Source organism: Homo sapiens, chromosome 2 (assembly GCF_000001405.40).
Source record: "Homo sapiens chromosome 2, GRCh38.p14 Primary Assembly".
Taxonomy (NCBI): Eukaryota; Metazoa; Chordata; class Mammalia; order Primates; family Hominidae; genus Homo; species Homo sapiens.
In genome coordinates, this window is record NC_000002.12 from 50,591,126 (window position 1) to 50,604,092 (window position 12,967).

General features: G+C 37.9%; 1 protein-coding gene across 15 annotated transcripts in view, besides 1 other annotated feature; it reads right to left on the minus strand.

Moving 5' to 3' along the window:
* Window positions 1-12,967, minus strand: part of NRXN1 (neurexin 1) — a 1,113,630-nt gene that overhangs the window by 672,623 nt on the left and 428,040 nt on the right. The gene's annotated exons all lie outside the window — the stretch shown is intronic.
* Window positions 6,183-6,383: a silencer, noted in NCBI's record as "peak3699 fragment used in MPRA reporter construct". NCBI's record gives its function as "represses an SCP1 promoter by STARR-seq MPRAs in K562 erythroleukemia cells {active_cell/tissue: K562}" and the evidence as "EXISTENCE:reporter gene assay evidence [ECO:0000049][PMID:32103011]".

The following is a 12,967-nucleotide window of genomic DNA, read 5'->3' on the forward strand; positions in this document are numbered from 1 at the left end:
GAGATGAAATAGAATAGAGCTGGTTCTTTGAGGTCAGGGACTGAGGCTTATTCAACATTTTATCTGAGCTTGTTGTTTATTCAACATTTTATCCGAACTTGGTTTCTAGCATGTAGTAAAATGTCTGATGACTCGACAAAGGAAAAAAAAAAATAGATACCTAACATAAGAAGAGCTATTAGTATAAAGACTCTGAAGCTGACTGCCTCTTCATAATTAGGACAGTCAAGGAAAATTCTACCATACACTATATATCAGATAGATAGATAGATAGATAGATAGATAGATAGATAGATAGATAGATAGATAGATAGATGTATACTAGTCAGGCCTTTAAAAAAGGACAGATAATGACCTACAGAAAGGAAAAAGTAAGCCAAACAATGATAGTGATGTAAAAAAATGTGGGTCCCAGGAAGTTCTGAGTTATCTATTTTTATTTATCATAATGCCTATGATTTCCTTCTTCTTTGAAGTTTCCTCACATCTTATTCCAGTTCTCTTCTCTGCTATTGTGATTCTGTCCGGTTTCAGTGGCTCTTCCCAAGGGGGCTGACGACAGCGAGGCCTCTGTGCTGTGCTGGGGAGGAGGGTGACCCCTATCTGGGACAGCACATGGTTCTCTTCCCTCAGTGGATGCTGCCAAAGCCGAGCAGGGAAATGCGCCCCAGTGTGCATGCTAAATACAAGTTAGGCGCCCTTCAGCGAAGATTTCGGCTTGGCTTCCTTCCCTTGGCTATTAAGCTACATTCCCACAAAATTACTACATGTCTGAGGTTTCTAAAACCTTTTGTGTGGATCTCAAACAGTTACTGTGTTGGATCCAAATTTCGACCTTGGTTAAGCAAGCCTCAAATCCGTTCCAAGCTGCTCCAGGCAGTGATGCTCCAAGGACACCCGATGCAAGGAGGAGATAAGAATAACCTCTACAGCTTGGTGATCACCTACTGTGTGTCAGTCATCGTGCTTCACTCTTTGCATGCGGCATCTCATTTAATCCTCACTATAAACTGTGCTTGCTAGCTACTACGACTACTCTAATTACCACTAATTTACAGATGGCGAAATGACAGTTTAAGGAAATTAAGAAACTTGTTCAAGTTTTACAACCAATAATTATTAAAGGATTAAAAGTATTGAAACCCTAGCAGTAGACTTCCACAGTTGGCAAGGGCCAGGGCAAATGACACCAGAGTGATCTAAACAGCCTGAGTAATAATAAAAGCCATCAATCCAGCACATAAACTGCCTGCACTCTGTGCATCCCAAAAGACAAAGAGAAAAGTAGTAGGCCATGTTTCTTTATGCATCTAGGTGGCAAGTCTATGAGCTGAGAGACAGTCCCTCTGTGAGGAGAAACAGAAGTTCACAAAACAGAGGGCAGGGAGGTTCTCTTAGCTTGTGGCAGGCAATGAGTCAGGAGAGGTAACTTTTGGAACAGAGCTTGCTCTTGGCTTAGGGAGTAAAAAGTGAAAAGACTTCCAAGGACTAACAGGTTCTCTCCTTACACAGGGTAATGAAGGCTATCACACTCAGGGCTTAGACTTTGTTGATTTATAGACTTTGTAATCTATTGCAGTGAGCTTGACTGTTTTGATTCTTTTTTTGATACAGGTATCTAGTTCAGGGGAAAAGATGCTCAGAGTTAGAACCCTTGTGTATAGTTTGAGTATGTGGTTAGCGAAAGCCTAGAGAAAAAAATTTTGGGAAAACAATTTTGTCCAAGTGCAGAGAACAAAACTTGCATTACAGCACCAGCAGCAGAAAGCTTGTCATAAAGATGGGGAAGTGGAGCAGTTTCCCAGAGCACTTTATTTAGGAAGGCCTCGTAGCCAAATGGACCATAATCAAGGTGGTGATCAATAATTACTACTCTAAAAAGCCCCTGGCATAGGCCAAATGAACCTCTCTTTCCTCTCCCTTCACCTTGATGCTCTGCTCTCAATCACTACAAAATGAAATTCTCCCAGATCAGAGTCTGTAGTTTTTGTGAACAAAGTCATTGATCTCTGATCGTGTGTTATTTTTTGTGAAACTTATAAACTTAAGCATGATTAGGTGAATGAATACTGTGGCGGGATAAATAAGGTTACCCAATCTTATGTAAATGCACAAGAATATGTTTGGAGCATATTTTCTTCATTCCAGTCAGCCCAGCTCCACCTCAGTACTTCTGCATTGACAAATGAATTGAAAATGAACACATGGAGTCTGTCATCTAGTCCCAGCAGGGAACTAGTATGATATACTTAAAGGGCACTGAATTTACAAGCATGTATATTTCTCTCATATTTTTCTATCTTTAGAATAATATAAACTGTGAGGTATAAAAATATGGTAATTCAACTTGTCTCTTTGATACTATCAATTTTAAAAGCCATCAAATAAGAAGATTTAGATGAAGAAAAGGAAAACACTTTATGAATCAAATAGACTGAAATGCAATATTATATTTGGGGTTCTATCTGATCCCTGCAGTTAGTGTTCTTACAGAGTAGATTTTGTGGATTAATTGTGTGATGCTATTTTATTTGTTGCTTGCAAAGGGGAAGGTGATCAAAATTCTTTTGACTTATTTAAAAACATCTATATATTTTGGCCACGTTTTAAAGATTAAACAAGTGTTTTAAATGGCACATGATAGTTGTTATTACATCCAACATATCTAGGCTGTTAAAAACATCTTATTGTATGACATATATTGTAAATGTTAAAGAAAAGTAACTATCACCATATGCTTACAGTTGCATGAGGATGATACCCTTGATACCTTAGCCTCTGAAAAGGTATAAAAAAAGGTAAAAATTGTAAAAAAGAAATATATTAATAAACATTGATACATTATTTTGAAATTGACAATCTGAAACAATGATATAAACAAATTTGATTTTGCTTGGCACTTCTCCTTCCTGCTGCCATGCAAATGAAGAAAGACTTATTTGCTTCGCCTTCCACCATGATTGTAAGTTTCCTGAAGTCTCTCCAGCCATGCTGAACTGTGAGTCAATTAAACCTCTTTCCTTCATAAATTACCCAGCCTCGGGCAGTTCTTTAGAGCAGTGTAAGAACAGACTATTACAGATATAATTTACTACATATCACAACTATAGATATTCCCATACGGAAAATGTATATTTGCATTTTTAAATGTATGCTCGCATTTCCTTGGTTTTGTGGTTCATATTTGGTAGTGAGGTATATCAGTCATATGGTCATATTTATGTAAACTGAAACCTAATTCATATGTTTCTAAGTTCCTGTGCCCTAAAAAAATCAACATGCACATCAGCACTGTCGGGGAACCTTTAACACCTGTAGGCGTAAGTATGGGTGAGTCATAGAGGAAGTCATTTGCTCCAGATTATTAAACATGGAAGAAAGACCTCCTGATAACTTTATTACACATGATAACGTGTGCTAGGCTAAGAGAGAGTCATTAAACCAAAAAGCAAAGCCTTCTAATAAAGAGCTGAAGCTGAAGGGAAGGACTAAGAAATGTCTCTTTCTAAGGCCCATAGAAATAGTATAAATGTGTTGTGTGCTACCTAATCATTGAAGAAATAAGATACATTTAAATTTTAGTTATTGATTCTATTCACGCTAACAGCATTTTGAATCCTATAAAGAGAGGACAATCCTGGGGACTTCCTTGTTTTCCCTTTTTGCCATCTTTCACCACAGCGTGTTTTTACCTCTTGTCTTACTCCATCCTATCTCAACACCAGGGGTGACTCTCATACTGCTCAGGGCTAATCACTCCACGATGCTTTAAATCCAACTCATTTATTCATTATTCATATTGTGTCTTTTGTCCACGGTACCCTCTGAGCACTGAGAGGAATTCTAAAATGAATAAGAGTTGACCTCTCTTCTTAAAAAAAAAAAAAAACAAGCAAAACAATAGTGAAACACCAGAGCGGAGATCTTATCTGCACATCCAGATTGGGAAAGCTGGTATGTTGGGGTGCACAAACATGGGGTGTGTATTGTTATGAGGACATGTGGCCACCTGGAATAAAATAGTAAGGAGGGCTTTTGAAATGATGGTGAGACCTCAGTGTGCTGAGTATAAGACACTCGCCCAAGAAAGAGGAGTTTTTCTTAGGCTGTGACCTGATTTGACAGAAAACATATTCTGGGTTTTGGAAGAAAGAAAGAATTTGTTCTCTGGTTATTATTATTATTTAGATATGAGATGCCTTGATGTTATGCAATTTTTCTCTGTACTACTTTTTTGCAAGAAGTGGGGCATGCTCCAAATCCCTTGATTATGATTTATGGGCCAGGGTAAAAAAAGGAAAAAAAAAAAAAATACCCACCTCTCCTCCTACTCCAGTTTGACCCTTCCCCTCTACCTTTGCTCCAGGTGAGAGAAGCACTAAATCACAGATAAGAGCCAGAGTAACATTTATAGCATTGCAAAGATGCCACGGTCAGCATTTGAGGCTATGAGTGTGGCAAGTCCTCCCGGACAGATAGACCTGAGATTAATAGAAACGGATCAAAGACAAGTACCCAGGAAGAATGATTCCAGGAAGATTGGAAGGGCTGCCTCAGAAAATGCATATCACTTGTAATTCTGCCATAGAAAGGGAGAATTTGAAGGCATAAGTCTCTCAGGTGTTTTTTGACTAAAGTCAATTATGACTTTAGTTTCTACTGCCATTATTATCTATGTTCCTTAATAATTCTCCACCAGTTCTGCTGTAGCAAGGAGAAGTGAGAACCAAAATGCTAAAACAATGCAAAAAATAAGCAAAAGCTTTAATGTAAGAATAAACACTGTGTTATAGAGGCTCTTATCTTTCCATCAGTTTCAACTTCTCTCTCCTAATGGCTTCCCAACAATGTCTTGGTTATTTCCTCTAAGAACACTAACTTTGCATAAGCATATATATTCCTAGCTAGAGTAGACTGGTTTCATGTTTGTTTTGATGGCACTGTTATGATCAGGCATCAGAAGCTTCTCCTCAGCCTTTTACTTCTTCCAGCAACAGTCCTTCTCTCTCTTTTTGCTCATGGCCAACTTTCTAAGAAAAACAACCAAATAAAAATACATTGCTTCTTTCTCTTCTTCACCCACTCTTCATAACCTCTTACAATCTGAGTTCTTTGGATAAATATTTTTTTCAAAGATGCTTCCACTACCTTCCACTACCTTTTCTCAGATCGTTGTCCTTTCTCAGATCTTCTCTTTTATAATAGTTGTCTACATCATTCACGATCTATCCCATGTTATTAAAAATTGCTGTGTTTTGGAGCATCTTCTATGTGGTTCTTTGTTGATGTACACCATTTCAAAATGCCAAAATAACCCTTTGTTATCCTACTCCCCTTTCACAGATAAATCACATTAAAAGAAATTATGCAATTTGCCAAAACTGCTGGACTTACGTTTGGAATAGAAATGTCTAATTCCAGATCTCTGACTCTCTCCACTATTCCACTGTGTCTAGACAGTGATACTGTGTAGTTCACAGTAATTTTATTACAACTACTAGAAGAAAGGGCTCAGCCAGGTCAAAACTACGAAAAGCTTTGTATATAGCAGAACAGATGGTGAGGTTTGCCCGTTCTCCCTTGGAGAAGGGACCCATCTGTCTATCTGGCTTGACAGCCTTCAGGAGCCCCACCTGACATGGACATTCAGTAGGGATTTCCCTAGTCTGCCTGGAAAATAAAATCTATTTGGATTGCTCCTCAGGTGCCTATGAGGAACGTGGGAAAATTCCTAGGACTTTTTTTTTTTTTTTTTTTTTTTGACCCAGTCTCGCTCTGTTACCCAGGCTGGATTACTGTGGCACGATCACAGTGCGGTATAACCTCTGCTCCTGGACTCAAGCAATCCTCCTGAGTAGCTGGGACAACAGGCACACGCCACCATCCAGTTAATATTTTTGTATTTTTTGTAGGGATGGGGTTTCACCAGGCTGATCTCTAACTCCTGGGCTCAAGCTATCTGCCTGCCTCAGCACTCCCAAAGTGCTAGGATTTCAGGAACGAGTCACCGTGCCCGGTGGGACATGCTTCTTAATGAACAAAGTCATATGGAGGGTCTTGTCTTGAGGAGGGACATGGCTCTGTCTTAGGCTTTAGTTGGGTCTCTGTTATAGCTAGCTCAGAAGAGACTGACCCTCTAGCCATATCACAATACCCCAAACCTTTGAATGATGTGTCAGCAGGGATACAGTCTCTCTTATCTACTACTACAGCAGCCTGAGGATCTACTTTCAAGGTTCTATCTCACCCTCTCCAGCCATAAGGCCCCCTCTCAAGCTGTTTCCTCTTGTGTTAACTGTCATTCAGCTAGTGCCCTACCCTGGGATACATTCCTTTCCTCTGATCTCTTCTCTTCCCTGTCTTATCTTCATACCTTCATTCTCTAAAGTGGGTGCATCTCAATGTCCTGATGGTTCTGGTTTTCTCCCACGTCTCCTCATTAAACTTCCCAGAATGAGCATGGCATATCCAAATGTTCAACACCTCCTCCATGTGAATGGCTCCTCATCTCTCTTCTGAGAACCTGTTCTGCATTCCTCTTTAACTGCATGTTTCTGAAGCACTGCAAAAATAGGTTTTCTTGTTTGCTGCTCGGCAGCCAACACACATTCAGAATGCTGCTCAGTGTTCAATAAATGTTTGTTAAGCAAATAAATGAGTGAGTCTAAAAAAATGATTTGAGTCTCCCCCTGTCTGTCTTCATTACCTTTTCTGATAAAATGCCCATTCCCAGCGGGGCACAGTGGCTCACGGCTGTAATCCCAGCACTTTGGGAAGCTGAGGCAGGCCAATTACCTGAGGTCAGGAGTTCAAGACTGGCCTGGCCAATATGGTGAAACGTCATCTTTACCAAAAATACAAAAATTACCCGGGCATGGTGGCAGGCACCTGTAATCCCAGCTACTCGGGAGGCTGAGGCAGGAGAATTGCTTGAACCCGGGAGGAGGAGGTTGCAGTGAGCCAAGATGTGCCATTGCACTCCAGCCTGGGCAACAGGGCAAAACTGCGTCTCAAAGAAAAAAAAAAAAATCCCAAAAGCCTCAATACCTCTACCCGGTGAATTTACAGAACAAATAAATGAATGAGTCCAAATCAAAACTAAATTTTGCCTGCCCTTATCCAGTACTCTTCCTGCCACTGCACTGACATCACAGCACAGAGGAGGGAAACAGCCCTTAGAATCACATTGATTTAGTTTGCATCTTTGTTCAGTCTCTTAACAGGATGCAGCCTTGGAAAAGTTACTTAGCTTCCTTGAGCCTCCTCTATAAAAAATTAAAAAAATAAAAAATAAAATAAAATAAACTTTTTTAAATCAGAAATAATTACTCTTCAAGTTTAAAGACTAAATAGCATGTGTAAAATGCCCCAAAGCCATTTATACACATACTTATAAGCTGTAATCCTAACTCTCCTATATATGTGTGTATATATATATGTGTGTGTGTGTGTGTATATATATGTATATATGCGCGTGTATATATACATATATATACATGTATATATGTATATATGTGTGTGTATCTATATACATATATATTCATATATATGTGTATGTATATACATATCTATATATATATACATATATATGTATATATACACATATATATGTATATATATATATTTTATTTTTGTTTTGTTTCGTTTTTTGAGACAGAGTCTCTCTGTGTTGCCCAGGCTGGAGTGCAGTGCTGTGATCTTGGCTCACTGCAACCTCCGCCTCCCAGGTTCAAGTGATTCTCCTGCCTCAGCTGCCCAAGTAGCTGGGATTACAAGTGCCCGCCACCACACTTGGCTAATTTTGTTTTGTTTTGTTTTGTACTTTTAGCAGAGACAGGGTTTCACCATGTTGGCCAGGCTGCTCTCGAACTCCTGACCTAAAGTGATCCACTCGCCTCAGCCTCCCAAAGTGCTAGGATTACAGGTGTGAGCCACCATGTCTGGCCAACTCTCCTATTTCTTTTAAAGATACATCAACTACCTCATTTAACACTCACAAAAACCGTATCTGTAGATACTTTTATGTCTCCACCTTACAGATGAGGAATCAGAGGGACTGAGAAAATGACTTATTTGCCCAAGGTCACACCAAAATAAAATCCTAGGCAGTATTACTACAGAGTTCATGTAAGAAATATTCTTAGATTGCAAGCTCACTAAGAAAGCCTTATAAAAATTCAGCCCTTACAAAAATGGGCAAGCCACACCGCTCCAAATAAATTGTGCCTTTAGAAGGTGGTCACTACTTACTGAAGTAATAAAGAAATATGTTTACCTGTTGAAATCTGACTTCTCGGTTCAATGCTCAACTATTTTAGAAGAAAATTTGTATCTCTAACAATGCCAAATGCAGAATAAATATTCTTGCCTTGAAAATTATGATATAATAAAGAAAACATACTTGGGAATGTTTTTCCAAAGACATAATGAGTATTGCATGAAAGAGGACTTTTAAGTTAAAGTGAGAAACAGAAATAATTCAAGGGAAACATGCTTTACTGAAAATTATATAAGTCAATATCCCAGAAACCAAGTAACAATTTATTCGTCAGAATAAGGAATACATGATCAGGAAATTTGTCTGGCTAATTGAAGTTGAAGAGGTTGCACTTGATGAAAAGGAAATCATCAGAAACGCCTGGATGTTTCCTATAAGAAGCTAAAATATGCATTATAATTCCAGCTGTGGATAGAAATTTAATGCATTTTTACAAGGTACAAAGGGTGAATAATTGTTTTGTCAGTTGATGGGGTGGATTTTAGTTATTTTAATAACTATAACCTAATTGAAGGAAAGCAGAATGGCATATCAGAAAATGGGGGATACAAAACCAAATGGTGGAAAGCAAATTGATTGCTTATATTAGAAATTAATTATATATTAAACTACCCAGAGTTCTAGATAAAATTAGGAACAAAAATAATATTTTAGAAGAGATGTGTCTGACTAGCCAAAAGCAAGGAGAAATGCAGAATGTCACTGAAAATCTAAAAATAAAAGCCTGAGGTAAAGTGATTATTTCCTCAAAGAATAAGGATGCACATAATGTATCATAATTTCTTAATTAGAGTTCTATGACAATTGTAGTTACATCCTTCCAGGGATAGATATATTATGACTTGCAAAGTTTGCTAATGGCTGAAAATAAACAAAAAAAAATAGAAAAATTTCTAGGTAAAAGTAGTTAAGACTAGCTTTTTTTTTTTTTTTTTTTTTGAGACAGAGTCTCACTCTGTTACCCAGGCTGGAGTGCAGTGGTGCCATCTTGGCTCACTGCAACCTCCACCTCCCGGGTTCAAGTAATTCTCCTGCCTCAGCTTCCCGAGTAGCTGGGATTACAGGCGTGTGCCACCATGTCCGGCTAATTTTTGTGTTTTTAATAGAGACGGGGTTTCACCATGTTGACCAGGCTGGTCTCAAATTCCTGACCTCAAGTGATCCACCTGCCTCAGCCTCCCAAAGTGCTGGGATTACAGGCATAAGCCATCACGCCCAGCCAAGTCTTGCTTTTTGGGGGCAAGGAATAGTAATAAATGTAAAAGACCTGTTTTATGGACCCTGGAACAGCTCATGACTTTACTTAGAAGTTTCTACAGAAATAACTAAAGAATGACATTTCTCCAAAACCAGTTGAAGAACTTTTTAGTTAGATGATGACAGACAAGAAAGTCAAGGTTAATTTGAGATATGCTGGTAGAATCCTAAGATCATTAAAGCTCTGGTATGAATAAGAAAAGAGAAAATGACATGAAGGATTCTGACATTTAGAAAACTAGCAATGGGAAAATGCCTTTCACATTCTAAGTTTATTTGTGAATTAAAAAAAAATGAAAAAAGAAGTATTGGGTTATGTTGTAGATGCTTCTACCAATATGGTTATTATTTTATTAAGTTGAAGATCTTAGTGAATTCATCAAGGATACCTGACTGATGAGACATCTTGGCAAAAAAAAAATAATAATAATTTGGAAGAAGTCACTTAATCTCACTGTGCCTTAATTTATTCACCTATTTAACTACAGGGTTTATTTCCCTAAACAGTATGATATATACTCTTTATATTTTTTCTAGTGTTAACATTTTAAGCTTATGGAAAAACATGACTACCTACGAGAAAAATAAAAGTAAATTAAATCAGTGTGTTGTGAAGATCCCATGTGTTTCAGCATTCATCAGACTGAAGGCAGTCTCCAAAACATCCAAACAGGGTTTTTGAGAATTTAACTCTTGGATCTGTTCTTCAAGTAGTATAATACGTGGTTTGACATGCATGCTAGACACCTGTTTTTCAGGATGGTACCAAAACAACAGAAATTCTGATGAATTATGTCATTCGAGTTATCACAATTGATTATTCAAATAACTCTCCGTAATTATGATCTTGACTTCTACAATGTAATTATAAGAAAGTCAGTTGTTCAAAGATATCCAAAATGTTCACCCTTGGCAAGCGATGGATGGGAAGAGTGGTGACAAGAATCTGAAATTTGAAATTAACCTGATGTATTTGTAAGTTTTTCCTAACAATGTTGCCGTCCATTAAGGACTGTTTTTAGTGGACTTTCTTAAGCTTGTATAGAGTTGACCTGAAGGATTTAAAAACCATTTCAGTTTATTCAGTGTTTGCCATGTATGCCATACACATCATACACTGGAGTACATTTAAATATCATTAAAATGTACCACTGCATAAGACAGGTCTGCTCCTTCCTTGTTCTAAGGTAATTCTGTTTCATGGGTTAGTCAGACACAAACCGGTGTTATCACACAGAACTGTCACGTATTTGATCTGCAATGTTCACCGGTTACATGGAGCTAAGAAATATACAGAAGCTAATAGAGTTATAAAGAGTCTGGACCAAGAATCATAAGACCCAGTTATGAGTTGTTAAAAGTGAGGGTGAAACATGTCCCTTCAGTTTTCTCATTTTAAATAAGACTAAATGATCTCATCTTTTTTATTTTCTTTAAAATTTTAAGGCCTTATGCAAAAGGCTGAAAATCTAAATGGCTAAGATTTAATGGAATCCATAGGATTTCAATGAGATTTGGAAAATTCATCAACTATGTGGCACAGAAAATACAGACAGCACACATGTACTATATTCTGTATGGGATATCAGGACCAAAACAAAACAAAAAAAATCACCATCCAGGTTGATAAATGGAAAAAAGAGGGTAGAGATCTCTTCCTGATACATCCTCAGAGAAGATTTTGGCCTCCCTAAAAATTCCACTGAAAGTTAGGTGTCTCTAATGTTCATTTTTCTTTTTTTTTTCTCTCAAGCTTCATAGAGATCCTCTATATTTAAGTTTCAGTTTTGTTTATCTTTAAAGATCTCTTCACTGTTCAGAATTTCTTTTCCAGAATCAACAATCACTTTCCAAAAATTGCTCTTATTTTTAAATTTTGTACATTATTTTTTCCATCAAGAAAGATGATTATCAAAAGGAAGTTTCCTTCCTTCCTTCCTTCCTTTTTCTCTCCCTTTCTGCCCCCTTTGCTCCCTTCTTCCCTTCCTTTCTTTTAAAATTACTGATGGCTCAGATACACTTTCTATTCTTCATAGAATAAAAGGGAACATGTATTCTGGCAAAAAAGGAAACAGACTTTACTGACCCAGAAAAGAAAGCATGTTTTGAATCTCATCCATCTCTTCCACTGGCATTTTAATGTCCTCCCATAATTACACACTGCTTGCTTAGCATGTGTGATCATAGGACCAACTACAGGGATGGCTTCTCACTCTTTGATTTATATTCTTTAATGGACTCCAGCCCTGGGGCCAGCAGAGCTAGAACAGAAGACGCAGTCTGCCCCTGATATTTCCTGGTCTTTGCCAAGAGTTTGCAGTCAAAAACTCTCCTAGAAATCATTTCCTAGAGATAATCATTCTTAACATCTATCCTCTGGAAGAGATCTCTCACCTGTTCACAAGCACCATACCTCTCAGAGAATCAAACAATTATTTAAAAATGGACTATGAGGCAACTGCACACAGAGCTTATCCATCTACCTTTGCTAGAATACAGAGAGGCATGGAGCAGTGGAAGCATATCCAGTATTTTGAATTTTTAAAAACATCATGTGTTTTGATCATATACCCTATGACTGGACTATGGGACCAGCTTCAGGTTTAAAGCAGTGAAGCTGTTTGATGGAAACCTGTAAAACTTAATGAGAATGCTGAGCTCTAGCATCAAAGCCGTTGGCTGGCTCAGAAAGGCTGTGGGGACGTGGGCAGAGGCAGACTTTTACATCTTGTGCTGCTTCTTGATAATCTGATTCTTGGATGCTTTGCCCAACTTTACTTAAAAGGGGAAAAAGAAAGAAAGAAAAACTAAGCAGGCAGATAGGAATCTCTTTCAACACACTTTTTTCTTAAATTTGAAGAGGATTTGGTTTGTTAGTTTGCTTTTGATCAAGGAGATGGTAGTGGTAGAAAATTCTTGTCTCTCTTACCTTTTTGGAATAACTAAGGTCACTTAGTGTGATATGCTGGGACCCCTTTGGCTAGATGACTTTTCAGTAAGAACTTTAAGAAATTTATATAAAAATGTTTTCTGTGTTTGCAACCACAGAACTTAAATATTATTGTAGAGAGGGACCTTAAGGTACACAGAGATTAATGCTTTCACTTGAAAGATGAAAACCCTAGTGCTCATAGAAGTTGAATAAAATGCATTGCGTTGCACTCCACATAGACTGGTCAACCTTGATCACTGGGTAGTCTAAACGATTAAAGACTGCATCTCATGAAGCCAGTTTTGTTAGTTCCTTCATGCTTCCGACCACTCAAGCTCCCCACTCCTTTTCACTTTAATCTGAAGCATATCTGGTTTGATTGCTTTGTTTGGGCAGAAATATGTAAATTTTGCTTGTGTTTGTATTTTGTATTCTTCTTTCTCCAAAACTGTAAAAAGTCACCTTAATTCTACCTTTGAAGAATCTCTACACTGTATCTC